We start from the raw sequence: 23476 nt of genomic DNA, 5'->3' as shown, positions 1-23476 counted from the left end.
TATTTTTGGACAATGGTAGCCATGGTTTACTTATACATGGGAAGCAAAACCACAGATGAGGGGGCACTGCTGTAGTTTTTCAATTCTCACACTTCCTCTATCCTGCTGCTGAGTAGGTGAACTGAAGACTAAGAAGTAATCTTGCAGTACAGAGTAATAAAGCTCACATTTTAGCAAAATACGTTAACCCTGTTAAAATAAGAGAAAAGACAATCTACTTAAATGTGGTTGCTTTATTTTGCACTTTTAATTCACAAAAAGCTTTACAATATCTACATTCCACCTGTTGATAACCAAGGCTTTATATGGCAAGACAATGAAAATTTTATCACATCAACTGGGCATATGCAAAAACAACGGATAATTTACAAACAAGTCTTTTTAATCAAGAACATTATGTAAAATACACACTCTGGTAAACATCTGAATTCATCCATCCTAAAATTAGACTTTAAGAGGCAAAAAAAAAAAAAAAAAATCAAATAGATTTTAACACTAACAAGCCTACCAGAATAATGCTGATGGCAAGCCATAAACAGCTTTAAATGCTGACTGTAATTTGGGGAAGGGGAGAAAAAGAAATTATTTGTTGTACCTATATTTAAATACATCTGTTAGTGAGACTTCTCTAATTTAATGGATTTCAACAAAGTGGACAACTCCTGAGCCTTTGGTAGTTTCTCAAGTTTTGTTTTTAAACTTGTGACATCTTGACTAAAGGAACTGAACCCTCGGACCAGAATACTTATGGTAAGGAAAAACCCCAGGGAAGCGGGGAGAAGGAGAAACAAGACTAGAACTTTCTTAGTCTATCTAAGGTGGGTAACAAATAAAATCACTGCTCATATGAGGGAAGAATACCAGAGTTGTTATGTGGGATTTAGCTTGGCTTATGTTTTATAAAAGCTAAATAAGTATAAACATCTAAATGGCAAAAATAAAAATCCAAGGTGGTCTCATTTAGGAAATTAAAAAAAAATTGTCCTCAATTAGCTTTTAAATTTGCGGAATGGCACAATACATATTTTGAGGCACCCATTATAGAATCTGTTAAAATTATGCATACTGCTACTTCCTCTTTTAATATAATTTTTATGTACTCTAGGGTAGGTATTATCAGTAGAGGCCACTAAAAATAATGCCAGAATTCAAGTGAGAGAGAATAGAAATGGAAAGAGGAAGGGAGGATAATGAAATTGGGTAGTAAGTAATAACAAACATGAGTTTTAAAGTTTCCTCACTAATAACACAGAATTGTATATTTTGGCTCAATGCCGCTGGGCTGCTGAAGTGACCAGGAAGTGAGTGGAATTCATCTTAATTGCCCCAGTTAGATTCTTAACTAACCCATGATTTGGATGAGGGGTTGTTTCCATAGACTGCTTGGTAAGGGGTAGCTGTGCTGTGCTAACTGCCTATTCGCTTTGTTTCTTTCAAGAACACTTTTGAAAGGACAAGAAAACGTAAAAGGCAGCAGAACAGAACAAAGAACTCATTAGACTACAGAGATTAACACAGCAATAATCTGCCAATAGTTTAATCATGGACATGTTACAATCATCTTGTTTCTTGAGATAGAGCATATGGGCCTATAAAAAAATTTAAAAAATAAAATTCCACTATTCCTGGCATATTCCAAAATTTTCCTCTTTTGATTAGAGTTTTTTTGGACAAGTCCCATGCGGAGTCTGTCCTGAAGACTCTGGCTGAGTGATGGATGAAAGGAGTATTCTGACACAGGTATTTTGCATGAGAACGGCTGGGGGAGTGCCAGCTTTAGTGCAGCCGAGAAGAGAGTGCAGTCCTGATAGGCTGGAACCATTTGTATTTATTCAGTAGAGACAGAATACCAAAGGCCTGAAGCCAACACAATTTGTGAGTAATGAACATTGTCGCCCCCCTTTGCAGGGAGCAGTCTTGCATGATTTCCGGAGGGCATAAGTAAACAAACTTATCTAGATAAATTCCTTTACACTCCCTTGCTACCTACTGTTCGCCCTCAGCCTCAGGGTAAGAGAATTAATTAATAAAGCTGCCTTCAGCTTTATTCTCTCCTGAAGCTTTGGAAAACCTCCCGACCTTCCAATTGCGTCTTTCCTTATAGCTTCTCCTACCAACCTGACCATCTCCTACATCACCCCTTTTCTGTTTTTTGCATCAGGTTTTGTTGATTGACGAGTACAGATGTGTGCAGCAACAGTTTTGTCAGGCATAGCAGTTACTGCTTGTTTTCTGGCTTTACATCCTAGAATTAGTAAACAACAAGAGACAAACATGAGTATAATTAGTAATATTCTTTTCTAACTAAGAAGCGACCCCCAGGAGTGGGGGTCTTTCTAGGAGAGATTTTTTTTTGCATATCCTTCCATATGGCTGTTACTGAGGAACCCCACTGGGGGTATGTTAGTCCCTCCTAGCTAAAAAGTCACACTGCTAGACGCTGGGAAGGGAATAGGGCTGAAAAAAGGCAGATTTAGAAAATGGGCTTAATAGGGTATAGTAGGTACGGGTAACAGGCAAAGTGAGAGAATAAAAAGGACCAATACCTTGCGTGAGTTGCAATGTACAACAGAGAGCATAGCAAGGAACAAATTTTCTGGAGTGAATGGTGTCTGTGTTCGGAGCAGGATCCTCTCAGCCTCCTGAGTTGTCTTCTTCAGCATCCCCCAGGTAATGTCTGGGGCTCCTGTCGTCCGACGAAGCTGTGTCGTCCGACGAACCCGTTTCTTCCGGGGCTGCAGGGGCTGCGGGGCCTGCGGGGGCTGCGGGGCCTGCAGGGTCGTTTCCTTCATTTCTGGTACTTGGTTGGGTCCTAGCCCCACTATGGTATGGTTTGATGCGTCGTGCTGGAATCCAAAGAGGGCCTGAGGGGATGTGAACACAAGCATATCCTCTTCCCCATGTTAGCAAAACATTTGGACCATGCCATATATTACTATTTACATCTTTCCATAAAACTGCAGTTTTATGTCTGGAGAGGTTTTAGCAAAGTGCTTTTCTATAGCTGACTGAAATTTATCATCTAAATTTCAGAAATTAAGGGTAAGTAAGGCTTGTGCTAGTAGTGTTGCAGGGTCTTTACTCATATTCTCCATTGTTTTCTGAGCATATTTTTAAGGGTGAAGTGGGCACGTTCTACTACGGCCTGTCCTTGGGGGTTGTACGGGATGCCTGTGGAATGTTGGACGCTCCAAGTGTGACAAAATTGTTGAGTGAGCTGGCATAAGCCGGACCATTATTAAGTTTTAATTTTTGTGGGCTGCCCCATAAACATAAAAGTTAAAAGATGTTTAATGACAGATGGGGTGGACTTTCCAGGAAGAGCATGTGCGCTAATTAGGTGAGAATAGGTGTCAACGGATACATGTATATATCTTAGTTTTCCAAATTCAGGGACATGTGTAACATCTGTTTGCCATAACTGATTAGGTTCTAGTCCTCTAGGGTTAACACCTGTTGAAGGAGGGGACGTGCCTGTGAGCTGGCAATCTGGGCATTGCAGGATAATTTGTTTAGCTAGTCTCTGGGTAAGTTGACATTGTTTAGTTAAGTTTCTCTAATTTTGGTGGAAAAATTGATGTGATTGGGTGGCTTGGTTAAGCAGTGACATCATAACCTGCAGGTCTGCTTGATCATTGCCATAAGCCAGTGGGTCAGGCAGTGAGCTGTGGGCTCAAATATGTGTGATAAAAATAGAATGTGTACATTGATTTAGCAATTACTGAAGTCAAAGAAAAAAGGCACACAGGGCCGGCTCGAGAGTAGACTTAATGAGGGCTGTTTCAAGGTTCTGCAATAAATAAACAGAGTAAGCAGAGTCACTAACAATATTGATGGGCTGAACAGAAAAAGTTTCTAGGGCCAATATTAGGGCTCCAACCTCAGCTCTCTGAGTACTAGTAAATCTCGATGGAGTGAGGGAGTTATGTGGTTTCCACCAGATAGCCGCTTTTCCATTTTTACGAGAGCCATCGGTAAAAAGCATTACAGCGTTAGGTATGGGGGAGGAAACTACCTTTGTAGGAATAACTACAGAAGTACTAGATAAGAACTGAAGTAGTTTGTCAGCAGGAAGGGCATGTTTTATATGGCCTGCATAATCAGAGAGTGCTATCTGAAGGTCTAGAGATAGGGGCAAGACTGCTTCAAATTGTTTTTTACTCAAGGGAATTCTTATGACATCAGGGTCATAACCTAGCAACTGATGGCATCATCCGCTGTCTGTATAGATGACTTTACTAACTAGCTGGATATAGGGAGATAGTGTTTTAGTCCTGGTATGTGAGCAAAAAACCTATTCTAGGAAGTGCAGCCCTGGGGCCATCTGTCCTATTAATCCTGTAGGGGAAATGTTTAATAGGAAGAACAAACAATTGGACTGAGTATTGTGGGTCTATGTGATCTAGTTGCCTCTGAGAAATAGCTTGATTTCCTCAATTTCTCTTTTTGCTGTGGGGGTTAAATACCTAGGAGAGTCTAGGGCTATACTGCCTTTTAGGATAGAAAACAGGTTCTGTAATTTATCAGTAGTTATGCCCAAGGTGGGGCAAAGATAGTTAATATCGCCTAGCAATTTTTGATAATTATTTAAGGTATGTTAGTTGCTAGTATTTAATTTAACCTTTTGAGGTCTTATTGACCAGGAAGTTAGTATGTAAAGATATTTCTAAGGTGAGGACATCTGTACTTTTTCAGGTGCTATGATTAAACCTCTTAACTGTGTATTCCTTATGACAGAGGCATATAAACTCAAAAGTACTGGCTCCATTGGAGCTGCTAGTAAAATATCATCCATAAAATGAATAATCTTGCAACTAGGATATTCTTTTCTCCTGGGGAGCAAAGCCTGATTTACATAATACTGACACATGGTAGGACTGTTCAGCATTGCTTGAGAAAGTACTTTCTAATAAAATAGGTGAGCTAGCCTTTCATTGTTGATAGCTGGTATTGTAAATGCAAATTTTTCTCTGTCCTGTTCTGCAAGGGGAATAGTATAAAAGCAGTCTTTTAAGTCAGTAACAACTATAGGCCAATCTTGAGAAACTGCTGCGGGGGAAGGGAGCCTGTTGAAGGGGCCCCATAGATTGCAAATTAGCATTGATAGCTTGTAAGCCATGCAAAAGTCTCCATTTGCCAGACCTTTTGGGAATGACGAAAATGGGCAAATTCCAAGGGCTGTTTGATGGTTCTATATGGCCGGCTTTTAATTGCTCAACTAATTTACTGGCTCAGTTGTAATTTCTCTCCCTTTAAAGGCCAGTGTTCTACTACTAGAAAGAGGTTTGCTGTTTATATAATTCATCAAATTCTGTCCTCCAGGGGAGGTACTGACTGGCCTCTAAAATTGTTTTAGCTAGCACTGACCAGTCCTATAGGGTTATATGGAAGTTGTCTGCTATGGCCTTAATTAATCCTTTCGTAAATGGGCTACTAGCAGCTCCATTTTCTCTAATGCTTTTTCTTATCTCTTTATAAGCATAAAAAGTAATGGGTTCATATACTTGATTGCCTTGTCAATTTTGTATCACTGGGCAGGCCAAGAGGTCCCCTTCTAATGCCGCTTGCCTAAAACAGGGTCCCATAGCTGTAGTGTATCTGTTGTCTTTTTTCCAATTTATTGGGGGAGGGGGCTCAGGGAAAACCTCCGTTTCCTCTTTGGTATCTTTATCTGGTAACGGCAGGACTGAGGGAGGAAGAGGAGGCGATAAGGTGATGGTTCCTCCTCCTTTCCCTTCTTAGGCTCTTCTGTGTAGAGCAAGGCCAAAGTAGCCTTAACTAAGGCCCATAACGTTAAAGATTTTACTGGGACCCATTGCCCTTGTGCATGATATCGTTTAAGATTTCTCCCCACTTTTTCCCAAAGCTCTAGGTCCAGCGTGCCTTCTTCTGGGGACCATGGGTTATGGGAAACAACAGTTTGCACTGGGTCCCTTAATTGAGCCTGCGAAACCGAGGCTCTGCTAGCTTTAAGCAGTTGTTTCAATACTTTTATATACTGTTTCTGTTGTGTGGATAGCTGTTGTCCCATGATGAAACCCTAGCTTGAGAATTCCCCTGAACTTGGAAATCCCGAGCGGGCACCAATGACTTACTGACTGCGCAGTCTCTTCGCCTTCGTTTTCGGGGGTTCCGTCGTGATCCATTTCAGTGTTCCTCACAGGGGGTACCTGCTGCCAAGTCTGTCCTGCAGACTCTGGCCGAGCGACCGGATGAAAGGAGTATTCAGACGCAGGTATTTTGTGTAAGAATGGCTAGGGGACTGCCGGCTTTAGCGCAGCCCAAAAGAGAGTGCAGTCCTGATAAGCTGGAGCCGCTTGTATTTATTCGGTACAGACAGAACGCCAAAGGCCTGAAGCCAACACAATTTGTGAGTAATGAACATTGTCGCCCCCCTTTGCAGGGAGCAGTCTTGCACTGATCAAGGGTTGGTTTCTGGAGGACATATGTAAACAAACTTATCTAGATAAATTTCTTTACACTACCTTGTTACCTACTCTTCGCCCTCAGCCTCGGGGTAAGAGAATTAGCTGCCTTCAGCTTTATTCTCTCTGAAGCTTTGCAAAACCTCCCAGCCTTCCAAGAAGGTTTGCGTCTTTCCTTATAGCTTCTCCTACCACCCTGACTGATTTCCTACAGTCCGAAACTTAAAATATCCCTCACCTTCCACCTCAAACTGCATCTTCTATTTATTAGTCTTGTATATGATATTATTTAAGACTCATACATCAGTGAGAGAGTCAGGAGTTTCAGGATTATTGTAATAGAAGACACTGAGTTCATTACTTGGAAAAACGGATTTTTTTCTGAGGTATCTCTCAGAGATTTAAGTGCTCTATTTTATCATTGAATGAGAATTACTCTCAAAGCAAATATTCTCTAAGATACCAAAGTATTCAGTTTATTAGGATAGTACACTTTAACATATTACAAGTTACAAAGCCTAAGAAAAAGCAAGCAACAAGTCAATAAAATCACAACTCAGAATTCTAACATTTTCAGATGGTATATGTGTTGGGCAGGGAGCGGTGGCTCACGCCTGTAATCTCAACACTTTGAGAGGCTGAGGCAGGCAGATCACTTGAGGCCAGGAGTTAGAGACTAGCCTGGCCAACATGGTGAACCCCATCTCTACAAAAAATACAAAAATTTGAATCAAACATTTTAAACAGACTATTTTAGATGTTTATTTAATACTGAAATGTTGTCAACTATCATAAAGTATTTCTCTGCATCACAAAAATTCCATATATTAAGGATTTACACAATCCAGGAAAAAAAATTTTTAGAAACTGTTTTTTTTTTTTTTTAGCCTGAGCAGAAAAATCTAAAAAGGCTCTCCAAAATCTTGAGTGGAAGTATCATACTCTGCAATGAAATGCTTGAGTTCTTCAACACACCGCTCACCTATTTCATGTAAATTCTGCCTCAATGCAAACTGTATAGACTTTTCTAATGAAGGATCTTTTTCAATCAGCATTTTCACCACCATCCCGAAAGTTTCACAGTCTTGTCGGTAAACCTAAAAGGTAAAACACATTCTGGTTAGCTGAGAATGAAAATAACTAGCCAAATACTTAGCTAACTGAGTTGGCAGAATTATGATGCTGACATCTAAAAGAGAGACACAAAAAAGAAAGCGGAACCTTTCTCGCCCTTGCATTGTCACTATTACCAGAGGCCATTTAAACCTCTATCCATGAGATCTGCTGACAATACCTGAATGAGAAGGAAAACATTAACAAACTACATTACTGAATATAGAAGTTTGGCATGGCATTTGTCAGTGTAAGGCAGTCTACTCAAAGGACATCAGACTAGAGATGAGAATAAGAACAAAGGCTAGGGAAGACATATCAATGACTTTGTTCATTTATTTGTTGGAAGAAAAAAGTTTCTGAGCCCCTAACTTTAGATTCTTTGTTTGAATCATGATCAGATAACAAATTCTGTTTAGTGGCCGGGTGCGGTGTCTCACACCTGTTAGCTTAGCAATTTGGGAAGTGGAAGCGGGTGGATCACCTGAGGTCAGGAGTTCCAGATTAGCCTGGCCAACATGGCGAAACCCCATCTCTACTAAAAATACAAAAAATTGGCTGGGCGCGGTGGCGCGTGTCTGTAACCCCAGCTACTTGGGAAGGTGGCGGCCTCTAGAAACTGGGAAACGCAAGGGAATATATTCTCCCTAGAGCCTCCAAAGTAAACGCAGCCCTGCAGACATTCTGATTTGGGTCCAGTGAAACCTGTTTTGAACTTTATATATTATTCTCAGGTTCTCATGGACTATTAACCAAGTTAGACAACATTCTGGGTCATAAAACCTTAAATTTGAAATAATAGGTATCATATAAAGTATGCTTTCAGATCACAATGGAATTAGAACTCAACAACAGAAAGCTAGCTGAAAAATCTCAGAGTATGTGAAGATTAAACAACACACTTCTAAATAACACACAAAATCCACTGGAACTAATATGTGATTATAGCATGGTTGCAGGATGCAGGATTTCTTAATATACAAAAGTCAATTAATTGCTTTCCTATATACCAGTAATGAGCAAATGTAATTTGAAACTAAAACACAACACCATTTATATTAGCACTGGAAAAAAACCCTTAAGTATAAGTCTAACAAAATATATACAAGATTTATATGAGGAAAACTATAAAATACCAATGAAAGAAGATATAAATAAATAGAATATAAATAAAATATAAACTATATAAATATGTATTAATATAAATAAATATAAGTAACATATAAATAAGATATAGAGAGATAGCCCAAGAATTGACAGGAAGAGTCAATACTGTTAAAATACAAGTGCTTCCCAACTTGACCTACATAAATTTCAATATAGTCTCAATGAAAATCCCAGTAATTAATTTTGTGAATATTGACAAACTGATTTTAAAGTTTATACAGAAAGGCAGGAAACCCATAATAATGAATATAATATTGAAGAAAAAAAGGAAAAAAGTCAAAAGACTGACACTATCCAATTTCAAAACTTACTGTAAAGGTGGCTCACGCCTGTAATCCCAGCACTTTGGGAGGCTGAGGCAGGCAGATCACCTTAGGTCAGGAGTTTGAGACCAGCCTGGCCAACAAACAGACAGTGTTAGTGAAACGCTGTCTCTACTAAAAATACAAAAATTAGCTGGGCATGATGGCACTGTCTGTAGTCCCAGCTACTCAGGAGGCGGAGGCAGGAGAATAGCTGAACCTGGGAGGCAGACGTCGCAGTGAGCCGAGATCGTGCCACTGCACTCCAGTCTGGGTGACAGAGCGAGACCTTGTCTCAAAACAAACAAACAAGAAAACAAACAAAAAACAACACACCTTACTTTAAAGCTACAGTAATCAAGATTGTATGCCATTGGCAGAAGAACAGACAGAAAGATCAAGGACAGGACAGTCCAGATACAGACCCATACAAATACAGTGAACTGATCTTTTAAAACAGAGCACAGAAGTAATTCAATGGAGAAAAGATAGTCTTCAACTTGACAGTTACGTTCAAGACTTCATTGAACTTCAACAAGTTGAGCAGTACTTGAACAACTGGTTATCTATCTACATGCAAAATAAATAATCTAGACACAGATCTTATACCTTTCAAAAATATGTTAACTCAAAATGGATCGCAGACCTAAATATAAATGCAAAACTATAATATTTACAGAAGATAACAGAGGAAAAAATCTAGGTGATCTTGAGTTTGGTGACGACTTTTAAATATAACATCAAAGACAATCCAAGAAAAACCCCAATAAATTGGATTTCATTAAAATTTAAAAATCTGTGCTTTGTGAAAGACACTGTTAAGGGCATGAACAAACAAGCTACAGACTCGGAGAAAATCTTTGCAAAACACGTATGTGATAAACTAGTATCTAAAATATGCAAAGAACTTATAACTCAACAATAAGAGGGCCGGGCGCAGTGGCTCATACCTGTAATCCCAGCACTTTGGGAGGCTGAGGCAGGCGGATCACGAGGTCAGGAGTTTGAGACCAGCCTGACCAATATGATGAAACCCCCATCTCTACTAAAAATATGAAAAATTAGCCGGGCGTGGTGACGCATGCCTGTAATCCCAGCTACTCGGGAGACTGAGGCAGGAGAATCACCTGAACCTGGGAGGCAGGGGTTGCGGTGAGCTGAGATCGTGCCACTGCACTCCAGCCTGAGCTACAGAGTGAGACTCTGTCTCAAAAAACAAAACAAAAACAAAAAACAAAAAAACAGTAAGAAACAACCCAATTATAAAACAGGCAAAAAACTGAATGACACCTCACCAAAGCAGACATTCAGATGGCAAATGAACATATGAAAAATTGTTCAACATCATTTGTTATTAGGAAACTGAAAATTAAAACGATGATGAGTAGTGAGATACCACTACACATCTATTAGAATGCTTAAAATCCACAACTTAAATTTAAATTTGATTTAAATGTAAATCCACAGCTTAAAATCCACAAAAAAATTTGACACCACCAATTTCTGTCAAAAATGTAGAGCCACAGAACTCTCCTTCATTGTTGGTGGGAATATAAAATGGTACAACCACTTTGGTAGACAGTCCAGCAGTTTCTTACAAAGCAAAACCCAGTCTTACCATACAATCCAGCAATCCCACTGCTAAGTATTTATCCAAATAAGTTGAAAACTTATGTCTACACAAAAACCTGCATACAAATCTTTATATCAACATTATTATAACTGCCAAAAATTGGAAGCATCCAAGATGTTCTTTAATGGATAAATGGACAAACTGCAGTATACTCATACAATGGAATATTTTTCATCAAAAGAAATGAGCTATCAAGCCACAAAATGACACGAAAGAATCTTAAGTGAAAGAAGCCAGTCTGAAAAGGTTATACACTATGATACCAACTATATGACATTCTGGTTATTAAAAAAACAAAAACAAAAACCCATAGACACTAAAGAGATCATAAGTTGCCAGGGGAAAGTGGAAGGGACAAACAGGTGGAACATAGGACATTTCTTAGGCAGATGAAATTATGCTGTATGGGACTGTATGGTAGGATACTGAATGATATATTATACATTTGTCAAAATTCACAGAACTGTAGGAGACAAAGAGTGAATCCTAATGTAAACTATGGACTTTAGTTAATATTAATATATCAATATTGGTTCATCAATCATAACAAGTGTATCACAGTAATGCAAAATGTTAATAATAGGGGAAACTGTGTAGGGAGAACGGGCATATAAGAACTCTCTATGCTCTTGCAGGTTTTCTATAAATCTAAAACAGCTCCAAAAAATAAAATTAAATTTTTTTCCCAAAAATAATCACACAAAAGTGAAAAAAGAAAAAAAGGTTTCTTAACTTTTGTGCCCGAGTTTCAGTACCTACAGCTGACTGTGCTGTTTAAGAATTAAATAAGATAATACAGAACACTCAGAATAGTGCCTGACACATAGGAAGCATTTAATCTAAGGCAGCTATAGTGATGATGATGGAAAGAGGAGAAACAACTGTTCTGACTTTGTCTATAGAAGGGAGTAGTAGAAAATGGTGTTAGAGTTGATAAGTTCTCTCTAGGAAAACAAAGAAAAGGAAAAGGAAACGGTGTTTGGGGGAAATACTATTGGCTTAGCACACCTAGAGCATAGGATATTCACCCTGAAACGAGATCATGAAGAGCTCCTTCAAGGAGCTTAGACATCAACTGATAAATTAACAAAGAGGGAAAGAGCTACAAGTAGAAATTGGAACCTTTGGATGTATCAGGAAGAGAAAAATGAGCAAGAATCTATGCTTTGGGTTCCTGCTCCTGAGAGCCAGGACAATAAATATGACAAGATGTGTGAAAGAAAGATGAGATTAGAGGCTTTACAAGTACAGCAGTCCCCACTTTATCTGAGATTTCAGTTACCTGCTGTAAACTGCAGTCCAAAAATATTAAATGGAAAACTCCAGAAACAAACAATCCTTAAGTTTTAAACTGCATGCTGTTCTGAGTAGTATGATGAGATCTTGTGCCATCCTGCTTCATCCTGCCCAAGACATAAATCCTCCCTTTGTCCCATATTCAATCTTTATATACTACCCACCTGTTAGTCACTTAGTAGCCCTCTCAGTTGTCGGATTGGTAAAACAGAGTATACACAGGGTTCAGTACTATCTGAGTTTCAGGGATCCACTGAGGATCCTGGAACATATCCCCTAAGGATAAGGGGGGGATATTATAATTAAGAAGCAGTAGATGTATGATAATGTGAAGAGTAATAGGTGGAAGGTTTTTTGCTTTTATATAGGAGTGGAGATAAGTTCAGTACTAAGTAGTCACTTGAGGCACTCATGAGACAACCAGAACCAACTATCAATAGGAAGTTAAGTACATGAGTCTGGACTTCTGAAGAAATAAACGCAAGTGAGGAAGAGATTGATTTTATAATCTTTAGCAGTAATGCCAGCTGAGGCCAGGGGAATTTCCTGAAGGAGGGAGTAAGTTCTTCCTAGCACCACAAAACTGATACCCAGTAAATGTTGAATGAATAGCTAAAGTGTGCTTTAAGACAATGTAAGAGCCAAGTGCAGACATCTAAAACCATCGATATCATCCGCAGAAAAATTAAGAATCAAGAGACAGTGAAGGCACAGATGCCAAAGAAAGAGTTTATAAAATAAGGACACAGTCAATCAAATGCCAGAGAAAGATCAAAGAAACATATTGACTGGATTTGGCAATTAGCAGGTAAACCACAATAGCAGTTTGTTGGGATGGTGGAGACTGGAGAGCTGTGCTGTCCAATACAGTAGCCACTAGCCATATGTGACTATATTTTATTTTTAATTAGTGAAATAGAATTAATTCTGTTTCCCAGTCACACTAGCTCTATTTCAAACGCTAGTGGCTGCCATACTGGACATGAGGATATAAAACATTTTCATCACTGCAGACAATTCTATTTAGCAGAGTTGTCATGGAGGACTGAGGAGTAAAAAGAAGGGAAAGTTGTCATGGTTAAGTGGTGATCTAGTAAATTAAATACATATTTGCAACTATTTTACCATTAAAGTGGAAAATAAAAGCTTACAACTTTTAAAGGAGCATTGTGAAATATAATTAGCATCTGTAAAATGTTCTACAACTTTTAATGAAAGGTATATAAAAATAAGTTAAAAAAAAGAAACTCCAATTGGGGCGTAATATACAAGGAACCATTCATAATGTTTAATGTGTTGATGAGGCCAGGAAAAAAGCGATAACACATTGATATTAAATACTGGAGATAAATTTAAACCCTTTAATTTTGGTCTATAGTAATGCAGAAGGTGTCAAAACTATTGTAATCTATGTTGCTGCTTGTGCTGTATTAATAGAAAAAGATATCTTTTGAGTCCTCCTCAAAGCTGCAGCCCCAATGCCTCTTAAAAACACAGCTCCTAAAAAGAACACTGGTGGTTGCTAAGAAATGCATTATGAACACATGGATCAGAGCTATAGTGCCTACATTCAATATGTGAGTGAAATTATTACAACCACAAAAGGAAGCAACTGCAAAACCAATTATAAATTAAGGACATGCTAAAAAGCCTCAGCAATCAATGTTTATAGAATTCTCATACACAAATACAGACCAATTTATAAATATATAGAATTCAACCAAAGATTAATCCTTAATTATGACTTTTTTATCCCTTTCAGCTTATTAGTTTTTTCAATCATAATATACTAGACAAAAAGAAATAATTCCACATATAAAAAAGAAATAATTCCAAATAATGTAATCATTGCAGAATAGTTAATGCCAAAACCAGATTCCACAAAATTTAAATGTAAGACCTAAACAGGGCTGGGCGCGGTGGCTCACGCCTGTAATCCCAGCACTTTGGGAGGCCAGGGCGGGCAGATTGCCTGAGGTCAGGGTTCAAGACCAGCCTGGCCAACATGGTGAATGCCTGTCTCTACTAAAAATACAAAAATTAGCCAGCCATGGTGGCATGCACCTGTAGTCCCAGCTACTGGGGAGGGTGAGGCAGGAGAATTGCTTCAACCCGGGAGACCAAGGTTGCAGTGAGCTGAGATCGCGCCGTTGCACTCCAGCCCAGGAGACAGAGCAAGACTCCGTCTCAAAAAACAAAACAAAAACAAAAACATAAAGAAACAGTAATTTATTTCCTCTCCTACTGTACCCTCACTCATAATACTCAACACTTCACTTCTGGCATGCCCACACATCAGTTCCCCAGCAGACACCAACTGGGTTAAGATCCCATAGGCTAAGGACTCAGTCCCACAAGACTAACCCCCAATACAGAAACCAATTCACAGGTCCCAGGCCTCCAAAACTTCTGACCAGGCAACTATAAACTGAGGGTTCTTACAAGCCCCTCCTTGGGTTCAATCATTTGCAAGAGCAGCTCACAGAAAGTGCTTTACTTACAAATACCATTTATTTATTTTTATTTCCAACTTTTATGATCATCCCATCACTTAGGTATTAAGCCCAGCATCCATTAGCTATTCTTCCTGATACTCTCCCTCCCTCATTCCCCAGCCTCCAACAGGCCCCAGTGTGTGTTGTTCCCCCGCTTGTGTCCATGTATTCTCATCATTCTGATCCCACTTACAAATGAGAACATGTGGTATTTGGTTTTGTGTTCCTATGTTAGTTTGCTAAGGAAAATGGTCTCCAGCTCCACAAATACTGTTTATTATAAAAGGATACAACTCAGGAACAGCCAGATAGAAGAGATATGTAGGGCAAGGTATGGGGGAACAGGTATGGAGCTGTTGTGCCCACTCTGAGTATACCACCTTTGTAGCAGCTCTACCTGTTCAGCAACCCAGAAGCTCTCCAAACCCTGAACTTTTGGTGGTGTTATGTTTTTTTAAAATAAATTTTATTGTGTGTATTTAAGGTTTACAACATGTTATGGGATACATATAGATAGTAATATCTATCATCTCACACAGTTGGTCCTTGAACAATACAGGTTTGGATTGAGTGGGTGCACTTATATGTGGATTTTCTTCTACCTCTGCCACCCCTAAGATGGCAAGACCAACTTATCTTTCCTCAGCTTATTCAATGTGAAGACAAGGAGGATGAAGATCTCTATGATAATCCACTTCCACTTAATGAATAGTAAATATATGCTGTCTTATTATTTTCTTAATAACATTTTATTTCCTCTAGCTTACTTTAAGAATACAGTGTGGGCCGGGTGCGGTGGCTCACGCCTGTAATCCCAGCAATTGGGAGGCTGAGGCAGGTGGATCACGAGGTCAGGAGATCGAGACCATCCTGGCTAACACAGTGAAACCCCGTCTCTACTAAAAAATAGAAAAAATTAGCCAGGCATGGTGGTGGGCACCTGTAGTCCCAGCTACCCGGGAGACTGAGGCAGGAGAATGGCATGAACCCGGGAGGCAGAACTTGCAGTGAGCAGAGAACGCACCACTGCATTCTCCCTTAAGTAAGCAACTCCCTTACAGTTGCTTTTGAAAATAATTGGCAACCAGAATGCCAGGTTCCATTTAATGAGGTTAGATTACCTCCACCATCTGATATAAAAAAATAAATTAGTGAAGGAGATGAAGTAGAGGTATATTCAAGAGCAAATGACCAAGAGCCATGTGGATGGTGGGTGGCTAAAGTTTGGATGATGAAAGGAGAATTTTATGTCATTGAATATACTGCTTGTGACGCTACTTACAATGAAATAGTCACATTTGAACAACTTTGGCCTGTCAATAAAAATAAAACTGTCAAAAAAAAATACCGTCTTTAAATGCACAGTGGATTTTCCTGAGGATATGAGAGAGGCGTGTGCTAATGAAAATGCACATAAAGATTTTAAGAAAGCAGTAGGAGCATGCAGAATTTTTTACCATCCAGAAACAACACAGCTAATGACACTGTCTGCCAGTGAAGCAACTGTGAAGAAAGTAAACATCTTGAGTGACATGCGTTTGTGAAGTATTTGTATGAAGCTGATGCTTATGACCAGAAATGAAGAGATCACTAAGCATTCAGAATGCACAAAACAACTTGCAGCAGCTTTTCCTGAGGAATTTGTTGTGAGAGAAAATTTAATGGGTGTGGCAATAGGAACACATGGTAGTAACATTCAGCAAGCTAGGAAGGTTCCTGGAGTTACCGCATTGAGCTAGATGAAGACACTGGAACATTTAGAATCTATAGAGAGTGCTGGTGCTGTAAAAAAGGCTAGAGGTTTCTTGGAATTTGTGGAGGATTTTATTCAGGTTTCTAAGAATCTCACTGGAAAAGTAATTGGAAAAAATGGCAAAGTTATTCAAGAAATAGTGGACAAATCTGATATGGTTCCGGTGAGAATTGAAGGGGACAGTGAAAATAAACTACCCAGAGAAGACAGTATGATTCCATTTGTATTTGTTGGCACTAAAGAAACCATTGGAAATGTGCAAGTTCTTTTAGAGTACCATATTGCTTATCTAAAGGAAGTAGAACAGCTAAGAATGGAATGCCTACAGATTAATGAGCAGCCATAACAGATTGGTTCTAGGTCTCATAGTGGAAGAGGCAGAGGTTGTCAGGGCCCTAATTACACCTCCAGTTATGGTACAAATTCTAAGCTGTCTAACCCCTCTGAAATAGAATCTGAGGGTAAAGACAAGCTGAGTGATTGGTCATTGAAGAAGATGATCGAGACAGCCGACATCAGCGTGACAGCAGGAGATGCCCAGGAGGAAGATGCAGAAGTGTTTCAGGGGGTCGAGGTCGTGGTGGACCACGTGGTGGCAAATCCTCCATCAGTTCTGTGCCCAAAGATCCAGACAGCAATCCATACAGCGTACTTGATAATCAGAATCAGATCAGACTGCAGACACTGATGCCAGCAAATCTCATCACAGTACTAATCGTCATACGAGGTCTCGTAGACGAAGGACTGATGAAGATGCTGTTCTGATGGATGGAATGACTGAATCTGATACAGCTTCAGTTATTGAAAATGGGCTAGGCAAAATATGTGATTGAAGAGCATGGTCCTTCAGAAAAGGCAATAAATAGCCCGACTAGTGCTTCTGGCAATGACATTTCTAAGCTACAGCATACTCCAGGAGAAGAAAAGATTAATACCTTAAAAGAAGAAAACAGTCAAGAAGTAGCAGTCCTGAATGGTGTTTCATAAACTGAAGAAGTTCCTAGTTTACAGTTCTTTTACATTACATTTACAACAGTGCTTGTACAAGCTTGCCAAAGATAGAATATGGATCGCCAGTCTTTGCATCGCACTTTCAGTTCTACCATTTGGAATTCAAAAAGGGGAGGGATCCTGAATAAATCATATGTTAAACATACTTTGACACCTACTGGGTTATAAATCATCAGATGTTCCTTGAGAATAGTATATGTAACATTAAAAAAAAGTTGCTGGCTATAAGAAATGTTATTTTCTTTTCAAAATATGGCAGATGGGGGGTGGTGGGTGAGGTGGGATCCCTAACATAATATTCTTTATGAAAGCACTGGCTGCTTTTGTTACATTTTTAATATGCAACCACTTCTTCATCTGAGGAAAACTAGAATAAAATGCAGTCTAAAATATTTTGCACTGAACTGTAATTTCTCCATTAGTTTAGTTTGGAAACTGGTCTGTTTTAATATGTTTTTTAAATGCTTTATAGAGAAAAATCTGCAGACCACTGGAATACATTTATTAAACTCTCATCTGCAGGGACACTGGGTGATATTTGGCAGTGACTGTTCCACCTTGAGGGTTTGTTTGGTTTATTTATTAAAGTGTACAGTATTTAAAAATAAAACATAGCTTTAGTTAAAACACTAAGCTGAATTAGTCATGTCCATTCAGACATAACTGGAACTACTGAAAATACTAATTTCCAGAAGGCTTATTCTATATAAACTACATGTTAGTCTTCAGTAGAGTATCTTTTTTATCTTGTTTTGTTTAATTTCAGTTGTTTGATGTGCAATATGTTTTTGTATGCAGATAGTAAATAAACATTGATCTTCCAAAAAAAAGAGATAACACAGTGTATTGGCCAGGCACGGTGGCTCACGCTCATAATCCCAGCACTTTGGGAGGCTGAGGTGGGTAGATCACCTGAGGTCAGGAGTTTGAGACCAGACTGGCCAACATGGTGAAACCCCGTCTCGACTAAAAATACAAAATTTAGCTGGGCGTGGTGGTGGGTGCCTGTAATCCCAGCTATTTGGGAGGCTGGGGCAGAATTGCTTGAACCGGGAAGGCGGAGGTTGCAGTGAGCCAAGATCACACCATAGCACTCTACACGCCAGCCTGGGTACTCCGTCTCAAAAAAACAAAACAAAACAAAACCAAAAAAAGAATATAGTATATGTAATATGTATAGCATACAAAATATGTGTTAACTGACTATGTTATTGATAGGTCAACAGCAGACTATCTGTAGTCAAGTTTTGGGACAGTCAAAAGTTACATTTGAATTTTCAAATGTTAAGGGTGGCGGGGGGACAGCATCACAAATCCCTGAGTTGTTCAAGTATCAACTGTAAGGGTGTGTGTGTGTGTGTGTGACTGTAGGGGTGTGTGTCTGTGTCAGAGACAGAGAGAGAAGAGCAGCTAAAATCGAAGACCCATCACAAAAACACAGTTGATTAGATCATTGGCCTTTGGTGAGCGGCTCAACCTTCAGTCCCTCTCCACCCCTTTTAGAGGTCAAGGGGGTAGGCTGAAAGTTCCAACTCTCTAAACACATGGTTGGTTTCCCTGGGCAATCAGCCCCTAAACAGAGGCTATCCAGGAGCTCCCCCGGCCATTGGTTACCTCATTCACATACAAAAAGACACATCACTTTAAGATTCCAAGCTGTGTGCCAAGAAATGGGGGCAGAAGCCAAATATATATTTCTTATTACATCCAGAAATGGAAAGATAAGTGACAAAACAAATAGAGCAAAAGCTTAATTATAGAATCCAGGTGATGGGTATACAAAAATTTTCAAAATAAAATGAAGATGGATCTGTTCTGCTTTGACCCTGGAGGATGAGCTTTGCATCTTCTCGATATGGGTTAGATATTAATGAATCTGCAAATGCTGACATGAGTGTGAATGACAGATAAATGTGCCTGCCACACAGCTAGAGCTCACCTTCTATGTTAAAGCACTGGAATTGGTCAGAGTACAACAAGCTCTGTTCAAGGACTTTACATTCTAGTAAAAAGACCAACACATTAAAAATAACCAAACAACAAGGCAGAATATGGTAAATGCCATAAAATAAATATAAAGTGTTGTAATTATTCCAAATAAAAGATCATGGGAGTTGCAGGGAGCACTAAGACAGCGTGAACTGTTCTAAGCACCTTGGAAGCAAAAAAGCATAGAGTGTTTAAACAGTAATGAATCTTGGAATATAGGGAAGTTTTGGGAAAGATAGTAGACTGCAATCAAAATGGAGCTAGACATGAGCAGGTAAGGCAAAGACCAAATTCTTAGACTTAAAATAACTTATGGTAGAAACACTGTAGACATTTTTTCTCTCATTCAAAAGGCAATAAACAAACAACTAAAGACTGTTGATTAGGAAAAAAACCAATGTATTCATTGCTCAGTGAATTTTGAGAAAAGTAATTTTGTATTCAATGTCAATTACTGGCTTGGGAAAAGAATTTCTAAGATGCAAAACATATAAAAAGGCTAAATCTAAAGAAAAATATTCATAATGAACACAGGATGAAAGGCAATTAAATACATAATAAAATAGGCTTTAAAGTTCTAAATGCTGAGAAAATGGGTACAAATATTGTGCAATATGATAAAATTTCATTTGGCTTTTGATATTGTCGTGTCTGAGAATAATAAAAATTATTTAATAAAAGCAAGGAGGAGTAGGCTTAATTTGCACATTTCCCAAGTCATGTCCAAAACATCCATCATAATGAAACAGATCACAGTTTAAGATGGCAATTCAGCTCCCTAAACGATATCTGTCACTTAGAAAGTCCCTTAAGTTAAAAAAAAAAAAAAAAAGAAGTTAAAAAGGCAAACTTCATTTTTTTTAATTAAGTATTAAAACTTTCCATTGGTTATTGGGGAACAGGTGATGTTTGGTTACATGAGTAAGTTCTATGGTGGTGATCTGTGAGATTTTGGTGTACTCATCACCTGAGCAGGCAGTATACACTGCACCCAATATGTGGTCTTTTTTATCCCTCACCCCCCTCCCACTCTTTTCCCCTGAGTCTCCAAAGTCCACTGTGTCTTTCTTATGCCTTTGCACCCCACATAGCTTAGCTCCCACATATGAGTGAGAACATACGATGTTTGGATTTCCATTCCTGAGTTAGTGACTTCACTTAGAATAACAGTCTCCAATCTCACCCCGCTCATTCCAAATGCCACTAATTTGTTCCTTTTTATGGCTAAGTAGTAATCTATTGTATATATACATACCACAGTTTCTTTATCCACTCGTTGACTGATGGACATTTGGGTTGGTCCCATGATTTCACAGTTGCAAGTTGTGCTGCTATAAATATATGTGTACAAGTATCTTTTTCATATAATGACTTCTTTTCCTCTGGGTAGATACCCAGTAGTGGGATTGCTGGATCAAATGGTAGTTCTACTTTTAGTTCTTTAAGGAATCTCCACACCGTTTTCCATAATGGCTGTACTAGTTTACATTCCCACCTGCAGTGTAGAAGTGTTCCCTCTTCACCACATCCATGCCAAACATCTACTGTTTTTTGATTTTTTTGATTACGGCCATTCTTGCAGGAGTAAGGTGGTACTGCATTGTGGTTTTGATTTGCATTTCTCTGATCATTAGTGATGTTGAGCATTTTTTCATATATTTTTTGGCCATTTGTATGTCTTCTTTTTAGAATTGTCTATTCATGTCCTTAGCCCACTTTTTGATGTGATTGTTTTTTTTCTTGCTGATTTGATTGAGTTCGTTATAGATTCTGGGTATTAGTCCTTTGTCAGATGTACAGATTGTAAAGATCTTCTCCCACTCTGTGGGTTGTCTGTTCACTTTGCTGACTGTTCCTTTTGCTGTGTAAAAGCTCTTTAGTTTAATTAAGTCTCAGCTATTTATCTTTGTCTTTATTGCATTTGCTTTTGGGTTCTTGGTCATGAAATCCTTGCCTAAGCCAATGTCTAGAAGGGTTTTTCCTAAGTTGTCTTCTACAATTTTTATAGTTTCAGGTCGTAGATGTAAGTAAGTCCTTAATCCATCTTGAGTTGATTTTTGTATAAGGTGGGAGATGAGGATCCAGTTTCATTCTCCTACATTGGCAGCACCATTTGTTGAATAGGGTGTCCTTTCCCCACTTTATGTTTTTGTTTGCTTTGTCGAAGATCAGTTGGCTGTAAGTATTTGGGTTAATTTCTGGGTTCTCTATTCTGTTCCATTGATCTATGTGCTTGTTTTTATGCCAGTACCATGATGTTTTTGGTGACTATGGCCTTACAGTATAGTTTGAAATCAGGTAATGTGATGCCTCCAGACTTTTCTTTTTGCTTAAAAAGGCAAAATTCTTATGTAAACACTGAATTAATTTTTATATACAGCTATTTCTTACAAAAGAAATATTTGAGAATTATCCAAAGAAAAATTTTAAACACAATAACTTCAAATAAATCTTTTTACAATTTCACAGATGAGGTAGTCCAGTCTTCATGAAATAATTTAATATTATCAGAAAAGTGCAATGTCCTGACTGTACAAAAGGTCACATTTTAGATCTGACTAAGGCTAAAAGAAAGTAATTAACTGGCAACAGCCAGTTCTCGAAGTGAAAAAAAGTCTTACATTGGTTTGAGAAACCTGCACGGCGCGAGATCCACCCAGTTACTCTCCAACAGGAGAGAAATTTGTCAGCAGGAATGACTAAGCGGGAAGCAGCTTAGCTATTTCAAGACCCACCCCCTCCACTTCCTTCCCAGCTCATCTACCACCAAAGAGGTCAGAGACAATTCAATATATAGGTCGCATTATCTTCTGAAGATACAGAAGTTATGTCTCAGAACATAGAAGTTTTAACTGTTACTGGGTCCAATGAGTTGAGTTCTCAATTCAGGGAGGCCTCACCACCTAAGAACAATTTTTGGAGAATGGGGAGGAATCCTAGCAAAGGTCTCCATGTCTAAGGATGGCTGTGGGTTACAATTCTAAAGGTCTTTTTATTTGCTTATTCAAATATAATGACATTTAAAAATTCCTGGCAAATTAGAAGTATTAAGTTACTAACTTAACATTTTCATATAGACCTTTGTATTATTTTATGTACCAGAATCCTCAAAAGCACTCTGGAGTTATTGGCCTTTTTTTATAAAAATAGTGAAGCAGAGAGATTAAAGGAGTTAACTGTAAGAAATACAATAAACATTCATAGCCTAGATTTCAAATTCACTCCTTATCATACTGCTGCTACAAACTCAAGATAATTATTAAAATCCAAAATAGAAATGAAGCCCTGACTGAACTAAATCCTTAGCAAAGATAAATGAACTTGCTTGGTTTTGAAGAGTAGTGTAAAGAAACTGGTTTGGAGGGGTCTGGAAGGCAGGTCATCTGATTATGATTCCTAACTGCCATGAGACAATGCATGAGGGTGTGTGTGTGTGTGTGTGTGTGTGTGTGTGTGTGTGTGTGTGTGTGTGTGTGTGTGGTGTCAAGTCTAATACTGTACTTTAAGTTATTCAAGTCATTCCTCTAGTGAAATTTGAAACGTGGATTATTTTTCCATATAGCTTCAGGGATGCCACTAAGATAGAAATAAATAGGTCAGATCAGCCATCTGCCCCATGCTGGGAAAAGCATTATTATTCTGTAAGCTACTTATGCTTTGGTTGGTTAAAGAGCATTTTATGGTTGAAATGGGACATTTTCAAATTATCCTGCAGAGGCGGCAAGTTCTTCCTTAGTTTCTTTTGACAGATGATCCAGTGGACCAGGCACATTCACTCTACTATCCCATTTCTTTCAATATTAAAATCCTGTATCGTGTATACACACACAGGACCTAGAAGGACACATCAAACTGTAAACTGCTTGTAATTATGGATGACTTTGTCCCTTGCTTCCTGTGTTTTTTGTTACCCATGATGCACATATTAACTTTTTAAAAATAAAAGTCATTTTAAAAACCTGAGGAGGCTGGGCACAGTGGCTCACGCCTGTAATCCCAACACTCTGGGAGGCCGAGGCAGGTGGATCACAAGGTCAGGAGTTCGAGACCAGCCTGGCCAACATGGTGAAACCTCATCTCTACTAAAAAAACACAAAAATTAACTGAGCATGGTGGCATGCGCCTGTAATCCCAGCTACTCAGGAGGCTGAGGGAGGAGAACTGCTTGAACCCGGGAGGCAGAGGTTGCAGTGGGCTGAGATAGCACCACTGCACTCCAGCCTGGGCGACAGAGCAAGACTCCATCTCAATAAAATAAAATAGGCTGGGCGCAGTGGCTCACGCCTGTAATC

At 38.9% G+C, this 23476-nt stretch overlaps 1 protein-coding gene and 1 pseudogene across 37 annotated transcripts in view; one reads left to right on the top strand and one right to left on the bottom strand.

Moving 5' to 3' along the window:
• Positions 1-215: 215 nt before the first annotated feature.
• The window catches only part of PPHLN1 (periphilin 1), a 122455-nt gene continuing 99194 nt past the window's right edge, over positions 216-23476 (bottom strand). For 9 of the 37 annotated variants that reach the window (NM_201515.2, NM_001364822.2, NM_201440.2 and 6 more), the window contains one exon: positions 6656-7522. In NM_201515.2, coding sequence (NP_958923.1) covers positions 7328-7522 — 195 coding nt within the window. In that variant the 3' untranslated portion in view covers positions 6656-7327. Of the gene's footprint in view, positions 3791-6095; positions 6197-6655; positions 7523-23476 lie in introns of those variants that run through there. The other 28 variants (XM_011538459.2, XM_047428972.1, NM_001364823.2 and 25 more) reach the window with 9 other exon arrangements.
• LOC100132797 (FMR1 autosomal homolog 1 pseudogene) lies at positions 15481-18018 on the top strand (annotated as a pseudogene).

Source organism: Homo sapiens, chromosome 12, assembly GCF_000001405.40.
Source record: "Homo sapiens chromosome 12, GRCh38.p14 Primary Assembly".
Taxonomy (NCBI): Eukaryota; Metazoa; Chordata; class Mammalia; order Primates; family Hominidae; genus Homo; species Homo sapiens.
Note: the sequence above shows the minus strand (reverse complement) of the source record. Positions and strands in the feature narration are given on the sequence as shown.